The following is a 15,272-nucleotide window of genomic DNA, read 5'->3' as shown; positions in this document are numbered from 1 at the left end:
TCTTTCCCTATCTTTGGCTTTGTGAGCTGTTTTCTTTACTATTTTATTTTTTCTCTAGTGTTTTGGAAGGCCTAGTCCTTATTTGTATTCTTTTGGTGGTAAATTCTAAGTTTAAGTTGGATTTTTGAAAAACAGCTTTTTTGGGGTGTAATTGGCATACAATTAGTGACACATATTAAAAATGGACAATTTGATACGTTTTGACATATATATACATTTGTGAAGCGTCACCACAATCAAGATGTACAAATCCCCGCTCCTAAAGCCTCTTCTTGGCTTTCGAACTCCCTTTCTCCTTCCTCCCTATCTCCTGTGGCTTCATCTCCCCAGGCAACCATGGATCTGCTTTCTGTCACTACGGATTAGTTTGCGTGTTCTAGAATTTTACACACATAGAGTCATGAAATATGTACTCCCTTTTTTGTCTGTTTTTTCACTCAGAATAACTATTTTGAGATTTCTCCATGTTGTCTCACGTATCAACAGTTCATCCGTCTGTTGCTGAGTATGTTCCACTGTATGGATAGAGGAGCAATTTCTCTCTTCATCTGTCGGTGGGCGTTTTAGTTGTTTCCAGGTTTGGACAATTTCAGATGAAGTTGATGTAACATCGATATACAGATATATGTATAGAAAAACCTCCTTTCTCTTGGGTAAAAATACCTATGAGTGGAATGGCTGGGTCATATGGCAGGTGCATGTTTAACTTTTAAAAAAACCTGCCAAACTATTTTCCGAAGTTCTTGCACTGTTTTACATTCTTACCAGCAGTGAATGAGAGCCCTAGTCCATCCACATTCTCACCAGCACCAGGTGAGGGCGGCCACTTTAGCCCCTCTAAGTAGTGTGCAGCTGTATGTCATTGTAGTTTTAATTTGCATTTTTGTAATGGAAAAATAAGTTGAGAATCCTCCAACATGCTCACTGGCCATTCAGATATCATCTTTGGTTAAATATCTGTTCAAATCCTGCCTTATAAATCAAATTGGGACAAATAGAATTTAATAGATCATATCAACATTCATATTAAGTAAAAATGGCCTATACACCCAAATTAAAAGATAAGGATTTTAACATTGGATAAAAAAGCAAGACCTAACTATATGCTGCCTATAAGAAACAAATATTAGCTGTAAAGACACATATACATTTAAAGTAAAGGTATGAGAAAATATGTACTATACTAACATTAGTTAAAAGAAAATTGGTATGGTTATACCAATATCCAAGTAGATTTCAGAACAAACAATATTGTTGGGGTATAAAGAAGGTCATTTCCATAATGACCAAGATGTCAGTTAATCAAGAAGAGTTATCAATCATAAACGTTGATGAACCTAACAATAGAGTTTCAAAACACCTGAAACAAATACTGATAGAACTACGAGGACAAATAGACAAACGAACATTACAGTCTTCTTTCAATAATTGATAGAACAAGTAGGAAAAACTAATGAAAAATAGATTTGAACACTGTCAATCAATTTGACCCAATTGTCATTTATAAGACACTCCACACAAGAGCAGAATATACATTCTTCTTAAGTGCACACAGAACATTTACCAAGATACACTGTATTATGGGCCATAAGTCTCAGTACATTAAAAAGCATTCAAACTATACAAAAGTGTTTTCTCTGACCACAGTGGATTGAAATTAGAAATCAATAACTAAAGGAAATCTGTAAAAACCTTAAATACTTAATTAAATAACACATTTATAAATAATCAATGGTCAAAAAATAAATTAAAATATAATTTAGGAAGTATTTATATTTAACTAAAATGAAAACATATTAGAATTTGTGGGATGCCATTAGAGCAGTACTTAGAGGGAAATTTTTAGCCTTAAAAATGCTTCCATTATGAAAAAAGAAAGAACTTCAATCAATGGTCTCATCTTGCGCCTTAAAGGCCAGAAAAAGAAGAGCAACTTAAATTTGAGGAGCAGAAAAAGAAAACAATAAAGATCAGAGTAGAAATCAATGAAGTAGAAAATAATAAAATGCAATAATAATAGAGAAAATCAATGAAACCAGAAGCTAGTTATTCAGAAGCTTAATAAAGTTGATAAACCTGTGGCTATATTCATCAAGAAAAAAGAAGAGAAGACACAAGTTACCAGTATCAGGAAGGAGAAAGGTGACATCACTGCAAATTTATTTTGCAAATATTAAAAGGATGGTAAAGGCACATATTATGGACTTTATACCAGTGTATTTGACAACTTAAATAAAATGAACAAATTACTCAAAAGATACAAACTACCAGAGTTGACTTAAGAAACAGATAATTTGGCCCTATATCTATTCCAAAAGTTGAATTTACTGTTAAATTCTTCCCCAAAGAAAACCTCACACCTAGATGGCTTCACTAGCAAATTATGCCAAACATTTATGGAAGAAATGATACCAAATCCACACAAACATTTTCAGAAAACTGAAGAGGAGGGAATACTCCTTCCAGGAGGCCATCATACTATGATACCAAAACCAAGACATTAAAATAAAAGAAAATTACAGCAAATATCCCTCATGAACATAGGTGAAAATATTCTAAACACATTTTAACAAAATGAACCTAACAATAGTTTAGTTAAAGAAAGACAGTACAACCAAGTGGGATTTAAGTCAGGAATGCAGGTATAGCTTAATATCAGAAAATCAATCAATGTAATTTATCATATTAATAAAACCATGAAAAATCATATGACGAAGCCAAAAATGCAGAAACATAAAAAATTCAATATACTTTAATAATAAAAACTCTCAACAAAGTAGGAATAGCAGGAAACTTTCTGAATCTGACAAAAGGCATCTGTAAAAACCCTACAGTGAACGTGACGCTTAATGTAAAAGCTTCAATGCTCTTTCCCTAAGACTGGGAACAAGACAAGGGTGTTCTCTTTCATCACTTCTACTCAATATTGTACAGGTTCTAGTCTGTGCAATACGGCAAGAAAAAGAAATAAAGGGCGTCCATACTGGAAAGGGAGCAATAAAGCTGTTTTTACTTGCAGACAACATCATCATCTATATACAAAGTGTAATGGAATCCTTAAAAATATTTTAATTAATAAGCGAGTTCTGGCTGGGCGCGGTGGCTCACGCCTGTAATCCCAGCACTTTGGGAGGCCGAGGCGGGCGGATCACAAGGTCAGGAGATCGAGACCATCTTGGCTAACACAGTGAAACCCCGTCTCTACTAAAAATACAAAAAATTAGCCGGGCGCGGTGGCAGGCGCCTGTAGTCCCAGCTACTCGGGAGGTTGAGGCAGGAGAATGGCGTGAACCTGGGAGGCGGAGCTTGCAGTGAGCCAAGATTGTGCCACTGCAATCCGGCCTGGGCTAAAGAGCGGGACTCCGTCTCAAAAAAAAAAAAAAAAAAAAGCGAGTTCAGCAAAGTGAAAGGATACAAGATCAATCAACAAAAATCTATTGTTTGCCATGTGCTATTAGCAAACAATCAGAAAATAAAAATTAAAAATACCATGTATAGGCCAGGTGCGGTGGCTCACGCCTGTAATCCCAGCACTTTGGGAGGCCAAGGTGGGTGGATCACGAGGTCAGGAAATCGAGACCATCCTGGCTAACACGGTGAAACTCCGTCTCTACTAAAAATACAAAAAATTTGCTGGGCATGGTGGTGGGCGCCTGTAGTCTCAGCTACTTGGGAGGCTGAGGCAGGAGAATGGCGTGAACTCGGGAGGTGAAGCTTGCAGTGAGCTGAGATTAGCCACTGCACTCCAGCCCGGGCTATAGAGTGAGACTCTCTCTCTCAAAAAAACAAAACAAAACAAAACAAAACAAACCCATTTATAATATAAACATATAAAATAAATATTTTGAGATAAATCTGACAAGATATATGAGAGACCTGTACACTAAAAACTGCAATGCTGGCTGGGCGTAGTGGCTCACGCCTGTAATCCCAGCACTTTGGGAGGCTGAGGCGGGCAGGTTGCCTGAGGTCAGGAGTTTGAGACCAGCCTCACCAACATGGGGAAACCCCATCTCTACGAAAAATGCAAAAATTAACCAGGCATGGTGGCGGAAGCCTGTAATCCCAGCTGCTTTGGAGGCTGAGATAGGAGAATTGCTTGAACCCGGGAGGTGGAGGTTGCAATGAGCTGAGACTGGGCCATTGCACTCCAGCCTGGGCAACAAAAGCGAAACTCCATTTCAAAACAAAAACAAAAACAAAAACAGAAAACAAAACAAAACAAAAAACCCACTGCAATGCTTTGCTGAAAGAAACTAAAAAAGATCTAAATAAATGAATGGTTATACTATATTTATACATCAGAAGACTGAAAATTGTTAAGATGTCAATTCTCCCTGGACTGATGTATAGATTCATTTCAATCCCAATCAAAATCCCATTAGGCATTTTTGTAAGAATTAATAAGTTGATTCTAATATTCATATGGAAATGCAAAGAACTTGTAATAGGCAAGACAACTTGGAGAAAAAAAGAAAGTTGTAGAATTAATACTATCCAATTTCAACTTATTATAAACCTACATTAATAAAAATAATGTCTTATCGCTATGAAGATAGACAAATAGGTCAATGGAACAGAAAAGAGTCCAAAAATGAAAGGCAGGATGTGGTTTATAGACTTCCTTCTCTTTGAGGTTCCTGAACTGGAAAGACATGAGTCCAATGCTGGAAACAATTTCCTCCGGTGAATGGAAAGCCTGTGAGAGAAAGTGGCCAGTGCAGAGGAAAGAAAAGCATGGGTGGGGGGGATCAGATGGATGCTGATCGTGGAGCACCTTGATTCAGCCGAGCCTGCAGCCACTCTTCTGTTGGACTTTTCAATTAGACAAGCCAATACATTTTGTTCATTTTTCTTAAACCTGTTTCTGTTTACTTGGCTGCACTTAGGCATTCTAGAAGTTTTTCCAGGTTCCTTCTGACATTTACCTGGGATTGAAGCCAAGCTATAGACTCCAGGGAGGAAAAGGCAAAAACCTATGCCTCTGTAGTCAAGTCCTGTGCAAACACCAGTTGAGGCTCCTCTTGTACCCTGGATGACTGACAGTGATGACATCCAATGGCTCACCTCCCTTCTCATGCAGGGCCCCAGGCAGAAGCTTCCTTTAATGTCTAGTGGGAGGTTTAAGGCATCAACGTTTTCAAGACTGAGTGGGAGGTATCGGGCTTGTCTGGTCTCTTTAGCTTGTTAGTACGTATGAGGATGACCTCATGGGACTGGAATGGTCTGCACAAGGCTCCGCCAGCTTCTCCTGTGAGGAGTTGTCAGTGTTCCAAGTCGCAGGCGAAGGCAGCATTGTCACTTGGTGGATGAAGACCTTGGCCTCCTGAGGAGGGATCCCTCGACAAGGTCCCCCACCTCTGCTCATCTACTTCATTCTTCCTACTCCAAAGTGCAGTCAATGCCTGTGTTTGGCCCTTGCTCAAGGGCACCTGAACATGGGGCTGTACCCCAAGCCAACTGAGTGAGCATCTCTGACATGGGTTATGGGGCCCAGGTGTCAGTACTTTTCTGCAGTTGCTCTAGGCAGACAAGTTTGTGAACCTTGCCTCCGTGCTCCAATTGCTCCCCATCAGGTGTGCCTGCCTTGTATCCTGGACTTTTATGTCCACATTGTGCTGTGTGAGCCAGTGACCCTAGTGAAGTACAACTGTCCCCTCTGAGCCCCACAGCTGTGTGTGGGCACAGACAAGCCCTCCCATCTCTGCCCAAAGGCCCCAGATCTCCATGCTTTGGGCTGCAGTCTCCAATCCTGAGAACATGTCTGCTTCAAAATAGACAACTACTGGGACCCCAGAACTCAATAGTCCACTTCACCTGGGTAAAACTGAAAGGCAAGATTGGGCTGGGCATGGTGGCTCACACCTGTAATCCCAGCATTTTTGGGAGGCTGAGGCGGGTGGATTTCTTGAGCTCAGGAGTTTAAGACCAGCCTGGGCAACATGAAGAAACCCTGCCTCTACAAAAAATACAAAAATTAACTGGGCATGGTGGCACATCCCTGTAGTCCCAGCTACTTGGAGGGGCTGAGGCAGGAGGATTGCTTGAACTCGGGAAGTCAAGGCTGCAGTGAGCTGAGATTGTAGCACTGTACTCCAGCCTGGGTAACAAAGTGAGACCCTGTCTCAAAAAGAAGATGCTTACCCAAACTTATACCATATACCATAAGCCAGTTAAAGATGGGGAGGCCAGAGGTTGGAAATAAACCCAGTGACACAGCAAGTTCGGACTACATCTCAGCAATCCATGCAAAGTTTTCAAATGTGGTCTCAAATCCCCTGAGGCCAATGCCCAAAACCTCTGGACCCAGGCCCAGCGGAGGGTCATAATCTGTTCATTCTGTGGATGTCTGAGCCGGACTGACTTCACTACTGATCCCATGGACATTCAAAGATAATAAAGTAATACTATTAATAACTCTATATCCACAAGTTTGATAACTTAGATGAAATGAACCGATTTCTTGAAAGACACAAACTACCAAAACTCACACAAGAAGAAAGAGGTAATCTTAATAGGCACATGTGTATTACAGAAATTGAATCCATGGTTAATAACTTTCTGGAAAAATAGCACCAGATTCAGACGGTTTCACTGGTGAAATCTACCAGTCATTTAAGGAAGAAATGGTACCAATTCTCTAAAATATCTCCAGAAAAGAGAAGCAGAGGGAATACTTCCTAATTCTTTTTATGAGGCTAGGATTGCCCTAATAGCAAAACTAGATAAATGCATTATGAGAAAGGAAAACTGCAGACCAATATGTTTCATGAAATAGATGCAAAAATTCTCAACAAAATATTAGCTAATTGAGGCCAGGCACGGTGGCTCACGCCTGTAATCCCTGCACTTTGGGAGGCCAAGGTGGGCAGATCACAAGGTCAGGAGATCGAGACCATCCTGGCTAATGTGGTGAAACCCTGTCTCTACTAAAATAAATAAATAAATAAAAATTAGCCGGGAGTGGTGGCAGGCGCCTGTAGTCCCAGCTACTCAGGAGGCTGAGGCAGGAGAATGGCATGAACCCAGGAGGTGGAGGTTGCAGTGAGCCGAGATTGCACCACTGCAGTCCAGCCCGGGCGACAGAGAGAGAACACTGTCTCAAAAAAAAAAAAAATTAGCTAATTGAATCCAACAATGTATAAAGTGTATAAGTGGAACAGAATACAGATCTTAGAAACTGACTTACCCAAGTGTAGTCAACTGATCTTTGATGTAAGCGTGAATACAATACAGTGAAGAAAGGATAGTCTTTTCAACAAATAGTGCTGGAACCATTGGACATTCTCATGCAAAAAGATGAATCTTGACACAGATATTATACTCTTCACAAAAATAAACTCAAAATGGATCATAGACCTAAATATAAATTGCAAAACTATAATATCTTAGAAGATAACATGGAAAGAATCAAAGTGATTTTGGGTTTGGCAATGAGTTTTTAGGTACAATACGAAAGGCATGACCCAAGAAAGAAAATATTGATGTTAGATTTCATTAAAATTAAAAACTTTTGTTCTGTGAAAGACACCATTGAAAATGGCAAGCCTCAGTGGTGCCCCGATTGGAGGCTATTGACCTGGAGAAGTTGGGGTAGCTATCTAGAAGTGGGGCTCCTATGTGATTGGTTAGGGGAGCACATTTGACTTCCTTTGGTTGATCCTAAGTTGGAAGTGGGAACAAAAAAATGGGACGGAGTCAGTTATAAGTCAAGTCCTGGCCATTTGGGGCTGATTGTTGCAAAGGCTATTGTTTGGCTTCCTGGACTGTTGGTAGAGATAGCGATCTGACATCTTACAAGTCTGAGGTATAGCAGGCTGGCTTCCTGGGCTGGTTACTATAGATAATGGGTTAGTTTCCAGGGCTGCTTCCTGCAACTTATTGGTCAGAGTTCTATTTCTATAAGGTCTGTCCATTTGTATATTTAATCTTTCAATTGTTGTCCAAAATATATAAAGAAACCTCAATACTCAGCAATAAGAAAACAAACATTCTGATTAACAATGGGAAAAAGATCTGAACAGACAGCTCACCAGAAAGATACAGATGGCAAATAAGCATATGAAAAAGATATTTGAAACCATTTGTTATTATGGAATTGCAAATTAAAACAATGAGATGCCTCTACACACAGATTAGAATGGTGAAAGTGAAAACAAAAAAGGAAAGAAAAAAAGAAAAGAAGCTGATGGCACCTAAAGTTGGTGAGCAGTCAGGGCACCAGGCCTGGCCATTCCCTGCTGCTGGGGTGTTAAATGGTACAGCCACTTTGGAAGACAGTTCAGCAGTTTCTTACAAAGTAAATAAACTCTTACCATAAGATCTAGCAATTGCACTCCTTGGAATTTATCCAACTGATTTAAAAACGTATGTCGACACAAAAACTTGCACATGAATGTTTATAGCAGCTTTCTCACAGTCACTCAAAACGAAAAGCAACCAAGATGTCCTTCAATAGGTGAACAGATAGACTTTGTACACCCATACAATGGAATATTTGGTGATTAAAAACCCACCTATCAAGCCACAAAAAGACCTGGAGGAATCTTAGATGTGTATTGCTAAGTGAAAGAAGCCAGTCAGAAAATGTCACCTACGGCTGGGAGCGGTGGCTCACGCCTGTAATCCCAGCACTTTGGGAGGCCGAGGTGGGTGGATCACGAGGTCAGGAGATCAAGACCATTCCTGGCTAACACAGTGAAACCCCATATCTACTAAAAATACAAAAATTAGCCAAACGTGGTGGCATGTGCCTGTAATCCCAGCTACTCAGGAGGCTGAGGCAGGAGAATTGCTTGTACCCAGGAGGCAGAGGTTGCAGTGAGCTGAGATCACGGCACTGTACTCCAGCCTGGGCGACAGAGTAAGACTCTGCCTAGAAAAAAAAAAAAAAAGAAAATGCTACCTACGTATGATTCCAAATATATGACATTCTGAAAAAGACATCCACAAAGACAGTAAAACATCCAGTGGTTTCCAGTGGTTGGTGGGAGGGAGGGATGAATATATGGGACACAGACAGTAAAACTGCACTGTAATAATGGATATTTGACAGGCATTTGTCAAAACCTATAGAACTTTATAGCCCAGAGGAACTCTTAATGTATACAAATAAAAAAAAATTATTTAGGAGGTCAAGGGATCCCAGGAGGGAATACTGACTGTGACCAGAGAATCCAACTGTATTACAAATGTGTAAAATTACCTCACTGAAGAGACAATGGGAGAGCAGGTGCTGCCCTAAGGGTACTGCATAAATGAGTGGAGTGGGTAAGACCAAAGGCAAAAGGGAACTGAGCATAAGCACTGCACTCTAGCTTATGGTGCTTCCCATGGAAGTACAGATTCACAATCTGATCCCACAGCTCATGTGCACTGGAATTGAGTGATTCTTTTTTTTTTTTTTTTTTTGAGACAGAGTCTCACTCTGTCACCCAGGCTGGACTGCAGCGGCACAATCTCGGCTCGCTGCAAGCTCTTCCTCCCAGGTTCATGCCATTCTCATGCCTCAGCCTCCTGAGTAGCTGGGACTACAGGTGCCCGCCACCATGCCTGGCTAATTTTTTGTATTTTTAGTACAGATGGGGTTTCACCGTGTTAGCCAGGATGGTCTCAATCTCCTGACCTCGTGATCCGCCCACCTCGGCCTCCCAAAGTGCTGGGATTACAGGTGTGAGCCACCGTGCCCGGCCGGAATTGAGTGATTCAGTAAATGGATCATGAGTAGTGGGAGTCAGGCTTCTCACTCTGAGGATTTACAGATAAAGCAGGGGATGAGACTAGAATGGTTCATGCATTATTGAATTTGAGTGGAAGGTATCAGTATAAACTCATGTTTAGCATAATACAGATACAAACGATTACATATAGAAATATTTATAGATATGCGTATGTGCGTTAATTAGTATACATATACCTCTCCTCTGTCATCTGAGACGGCCTAGAAGCAATCATATTCCAGTAGCAATAAACACACCTAGTGCTCAGATCTTGGCTTCTAATACTGTTCTCCAATAAAAAGAAACAGGGCTCCTCAGAGAAATGGCTGATTCTGGGACTGGGGCAAGAAATATACAAGATAAATCTATAGAAAGGAAGTACTAAAAAAAATCTCCAAATCCTACCTTAAAGGGACACAGGAGCCAACTGGAAGAGCTCCCAATGGCCAAAGCCAGAACAACTTGAGCAACAAAATAAAGTAGGGTTGAGTCATGACCCAAAATATGACACAGGTGTCCATGAGTCAGTGCTGACAGACATCAGTGACTGAATAAACTACATGGGAAAGAAGAGACAAATCACCATTGCCAAAGGATTCCAAATAATTTACGCAGATACCTTGCCCTCAAGGAGGGGACCGCGAGTCCCCCTCCTCAGGTGTGGGCTGTGCACCTTGACTTCCTTCCCAAGAGTGTGGTATGGAAGGCAGGTGATAACTGTTGAGGGGGGTGATGACTATCTGGGTGGTGGTGGTCCGGGGTAGGGGGAGCATCAAAGAATTTCCCAAGACAGTTGTAGATAAAGAAGGGCAGATTTATTAGAGAAAATAGGAAAATACGTTGCGAGGAGGAAACAGGCGGACTCAGCAGAAGAGGAGCTGACTGCTGGGGTTCAAAGGCTTGCTGGAGGTTTTATAGGATGGTTCTTGGGCTGCAGAGGGCTGCGTGCGGTACTGATAACGCCAGGGTTGCAGGGAGCTACCTTGCATTTTTCTATCAGCTGAGGGTCTGGTGATAGCTGGGTGCAGGAAGATTGTGAGTTATCTGTGCAGGAGGGCTGTGTGTCCTGCACCGTGAAGAAAGGCAGACTTATACCTCTTCTGCTGCTTCTTTTTGCTTCCCCTGCTCCCTGCAGCCTGACTCCTTTTCCCTAATTAGGACCCCACAGTGACTTCACAGCGGAGAAGACTGACAGCACGACCTCAGCCGGGGGCCAAGGTCAATGTCAGCAAGGACAGCCTTGTTGAGAGCACGCGCCCTGGGTAGGATGTGACGCCAGTGGAGTGCTGCCGCCGCGCTTTCTTTCCCCTGGCGCATAACACCAGTCACTCATGAGAAAAATAGCACGTTCCAAGAGTGGGGCATCCTGCAGAATTTCTGACTGGTACTCCTAAAAACTGTCAAGGCCATCAAAAACAAGGAAAGTTGGAGAAACTGTCACAGCCGAGAGGCACCTAAGGAGACATGCCGACCAAATGTCATGTGGTGTCCTGGACGGGCCCTTCCTGGGACAGGGCAAGGACATTAGGGAAGAATCAGGGAAATCTGAATGCACCATGTAGAACAGGGCCTTTAGCCAATACTTGTGTTTCAATACTGGTTCATCAGTGGTGGCAGATGCACAGCACTAATGTAAAATTTTAATAATAAGGGAAGCTGTGTGAGGGCTATATGGGGACTCTGTGACATCTTCTCAATATTCCTGTCAAAACTGTTCTAAAAATAAAGTCAGCTTAAAAAACTGTCAGCAACATGCACGCAGCTCTGGAGAATGGGGAGCAGCCCTCATGAAGTCGTGTGCATGAAAGGTGAAGACTTCACATCAACGAAAGCCATTCACAGGTCTGTGTTTGGAATCCCAGGGTTTGGAAAACATGCATCTCATTTCCTCTGGAGGTGAAATGTGAGTTGGTCCTGCTGCCCACATGCATTCCCTCAAGATGCAGAAAGCCATGCCTGGCTGTCATTCTGCTGATTAGGCCCGGGCAGGGTTGGACCGCTCCACATCGGGGCAGCAACCCAGGTGACCACACGGCAGGGATCTCCTCCACGGTTGTGTGGGAAAGCCCTGGAGACCGAGGGACGTTCAGCAGCATCATGGCCCCCACATCTCAGGCAGGCGGCATGGGGTGCTAAGCCCCTTCCTCCCCTTTAAAAAGAAGAATCATGGTTTTGTTTTGTAAGAAAGGTCCGGCCTCATATTTAAAAACTGAGTAACATAGGAGACCAAGAGGAAGTCAAAAGCATGCTCCAAACTCTCCTTCCAGATAACCAACTTTGTTCAATCTCACAAAGGACAACTTTCCTCCAAGGGTCCAGTAGAACTGGAAAGAGGGACAGGAGTAGAAATAATGTTAGTCACGGGCATCGTTTATCAGAAAGAGCATCTCCTGTGTTTGAGTTTCACAAGAACAAACCAAGGTGAAGCCGAAGGAAACACTTGAAATAAAGGTTTCACCTCACAGAGACTCAAGCACTGGAAGACCTGCTAAAAGCTACCGTGAAAGAGCTTGCGAACGAAGGGAACTCCACGTTGGTAAACCAGATGTTCCGGGTTCCAAGTTACATTTTTACTCCCAACCCCTCCATGCTTTCTAACGTTATTATTTTTTGGACGTGATCAAAGTTTGTAACATTTAACTTCTGTTCCTCACACCGTGGTTTCCATTGTCACTGTCACCCGGTTTAACATTCAGATGATTCCAGAGCTTGTCCCCAGCCTTTGCTGTGGTTCCTACCCCCTTGAGTTTTGTCTTCATCAGCGTTTGTCACCTGGATTTTGTCATCTGAGGTTGCTGGAGAGGCCCCTGTGCTGGCTCACCGTGTAATTTATCATCCTACCTGGAGCACTTGACTTCTACTTTTTAGACTTTTTATCTGGAAATGATTTCAAACTTAGACAAAGTCACAAAAGCAAAAAGAGTGCAAGGAATAGCCATATACCCATTGCTCAGATTTACCTATTATTCTATCCCATTTGCTGTATCATTTGTGTTGTAAGAACAGGAGTATTCTCTTACATAACCTCAACACAGTCATCAACCTCATACATCTCCATTAGTATTAATAAGAAGTATTTTTACATGATATGCCATCTGTATTCCAATGTTGTCAGATGTTCTAATAATATCCTGTAATTAATGAATTAAAAGATGAGGTCTAGCTCTGTTACCAGGCTGAAGTCTAGTTGTGCAATCATGGCTCACTGCAGCCTCAACCAACCAGGCTCAAGCGATCCTCCCACCTCAGCCTCCTGAGTAGCTGGGACCACAGGTGCGCACCACCACATCCAGCCTCTACTAATGTCATTTGTAGCCTTTGTAGCACCCTTTCCCTCTCAAACTTGAGCACTTTTTAGAGCAAGAGTTTGCTATGGACAACTATGCTGGTGATGCAGGACAGGCAAGCCGCAAAGTGGGGCTCAGCCTGAGAGGGTTCTTGGCTTTGCCCAGGAAAGAATTCAAGGGCAAGCCAGAGGCAGAAGAAAACAGCTTTATCGAAGCTGCAGTGTCACAGCTTCAGTGGTGTTATAGCTCCAAGACTGCACCTGCTGGGCCGGGCTACCCCATAGGCAAAGAGGGGAAGCTCAGGGCTGTTCTGCTCATATTTATACCCACTTTTTTTTTTCTTGAGACAGAGTCTCACTCTGTCACCCAGGCTGCAGTGCAGTGGTGTGATCTCAGCTTACTGCAACCTCCGCCTCCCAGGTTCAAGCGATTCTCCTGCCTCAGCCTCCCAAGTAGCTGGGATTACAGGCATGTGCCACTGCACCTGGCTAATTTTTGTATTTTTAGTAGAGATGAGGTTTTTCCATGTTAGCCAGGCTGGTCTCGAACTCGTGACCTCAGGTGATCCACCGGTCTTGGCCTTCCAAGGTGCTGGGATTACAGGTGTGAGCTACCGCACTTGGGTTCCCACTTTTAATTGCATGCAGATTAAGGAGTATGCAGGGAAGGGGCAGTAACTTTTGGATCATTGGGTACCATGGAAAGAGGCAGTAACTCCTGGGCGTTGCCATGACAACAGTAAATTGACATGGCACACTGGTGGGCAGGTCTGATTGAAAGCTGCTTTCACCCCAGCACTGTTTTAGCTAGTCCTCAATCTGGTCCAGTGTCTGAGCCCTTCCTCTGGAGTCAAGCCCCACCTCCTGTCTCACTGGGACAATGGGAATCTCGGGCTGCCACAGGCCCGGGAGATCCCCGCTTTCTCCTCCTGTGGGCGCTGTGTATTCTTCAAGTTCTTGCCTACCTAAGAGTCTGTTTCCTTTATACGTCAAGTCAGGATTATCGGATATAAAATCCTCAAGTCAAACATTTTTTCCATCAGAACTCTGTAGCTACTGTGTTCTGATATTTAAGTGATGCTCCGTCTGATTATTTCCAACCCCCTGAAGTTTAACAATGGCAGCAGCATACATCGTGCTGTTTTGCTGGCCCCACTCCTGCCCCCAGAATGTGTGCTCTGCAGAGCTGCAGATCCAGGCTTAAGGAACATGTATTTTGTGATAGCCCAGAGTCTATTTTTTTTTTTTCAGGCTTATGTGTTTTGTTTTCTTCTTCAGGAACATCAATTGTGCATGTGTTATATCTTCTTTGTTTGAATTCTGTACTTACCGTCTTATTTTTACATTGTAGAAACTTTCACTTTATTGTGTGTGACTTCCTCAAGCTCAACACTTTATCCTTTTAAAGGCATTTTCAGCCATGTTTATTTTTCTCTTTGTTCAGATGTGGTTATGGTCTCCAATCAACTTCTCTCTTCCATCTCTTTTCTGGGCTCCAGTGGCTCACACCTTCTGTTATCTTATCATCTCTTCTTTGAAACCACACATCTCCTTTTTGAGCGCTTCTCCCTTTTAGGAGATGAGGTTGTCTTGAAGCAGAAGAAACCTTTTTGTCTGAACTTTGCCTGTGTTTCCTTGGGTCGTTCTCCCAGGGGTGAATGTTTTTCATTTGTCTTTTATGTATAATTCCTTCATTTTAATTTTTGAAGTATTTATGCATAGGTGTGAAGTCACTTCCTAATAGTAACTTGTCTTTAACAGGGGAGGGCTATCTGCTGGGGGTGTGGGAGAGAGTGTATGTGTGTGAGTGTATGTGTGTGTGTGTGCATGAGTGCGTATGTGTGGGAGTGTGTGGGATGTGTGCATGAAAGTGTGTGCAAAAGTGTGTGGGTGCATATGTGAGCATGTGTCTGAATGTATGTGTGAGAGAACGTGTGTGTGAATGTGTGTCTGAATGTGTGTGTGTGAGAAAGTGTGTGTGAATGTGTTTGTGAATGTGTGAGTGTGGTGCATGAGTGCATATATGTATGTGAGAGTGTGAATGTGTGTGGATGTATGTGAAAGTGTGTGTGAAAATGTGAGTGTATGTCTGTGAAAGTGTGAATGTGGCTGTATGTCTGTGAAAGTGTGTGTGAATGTGGGTGTATGTGTGTGAACGTGTGTGTATAAGTGTGAATGTGTGTGGGTGTGTGTCTGAATGCATGTGTGTGGGTGTGTATGTGTGTGTCTGAATGTGTGTCTGAATGTGTGTCTGAATGTGTGTATGA

The 15,272-nt window shown here is 42.6% G+C and overlaps 1 long non-coding RNA gene across 1 annotated transcript, besides 1 other annotated feature; it reads left to right on the top strand.

Moving 5' to 3' along the window:
* Positions 1-776: 776 nt before the first annotated feature.
* On the top strand, positions 777-12,890 carry LOC124903395 (uncharacterized). Its single transcript, XR_007064361.1, has 2 exons — positions 777-813; positions 10,855-12,890. It is a non-coding gene; the product is annotated as an uncharacterized LOC124903395 (long non-coding RNA).
* Positions 10,557-10,757: a silencer, noted in NCBI's record as "peak2256 fragment used in MPRA reporter construct". NCBI's record gives its function as "represses an SCP1 promoter by STARR-seq MPRAs in K562 erythroleukemia cells {active_cell/tissue: K562}" and the evidence as "EXISTENCE:reporter gene assay evidence [ECO:0000049][PMID:32103011]".
* Positions 12,891-15,272: the final 2,382 nt, after the last annotated feature.

The sequence above is a fragment of the Homo sapiens genome, chromosome 14, assembly GCF_000001405.40.
Source record: "Homo sapiens chromosome 14, GRCh38.p14 Primary Assembly".
NCBI classification, from domain to species: Eukaryota; Metazoa; Chordata; class Mammalia; order Primates; family Hominidae; genus Homo; species Homo sapiens.
This window is presented reverse-complemented; position numbering and strand designations above follow the sequence as displayed.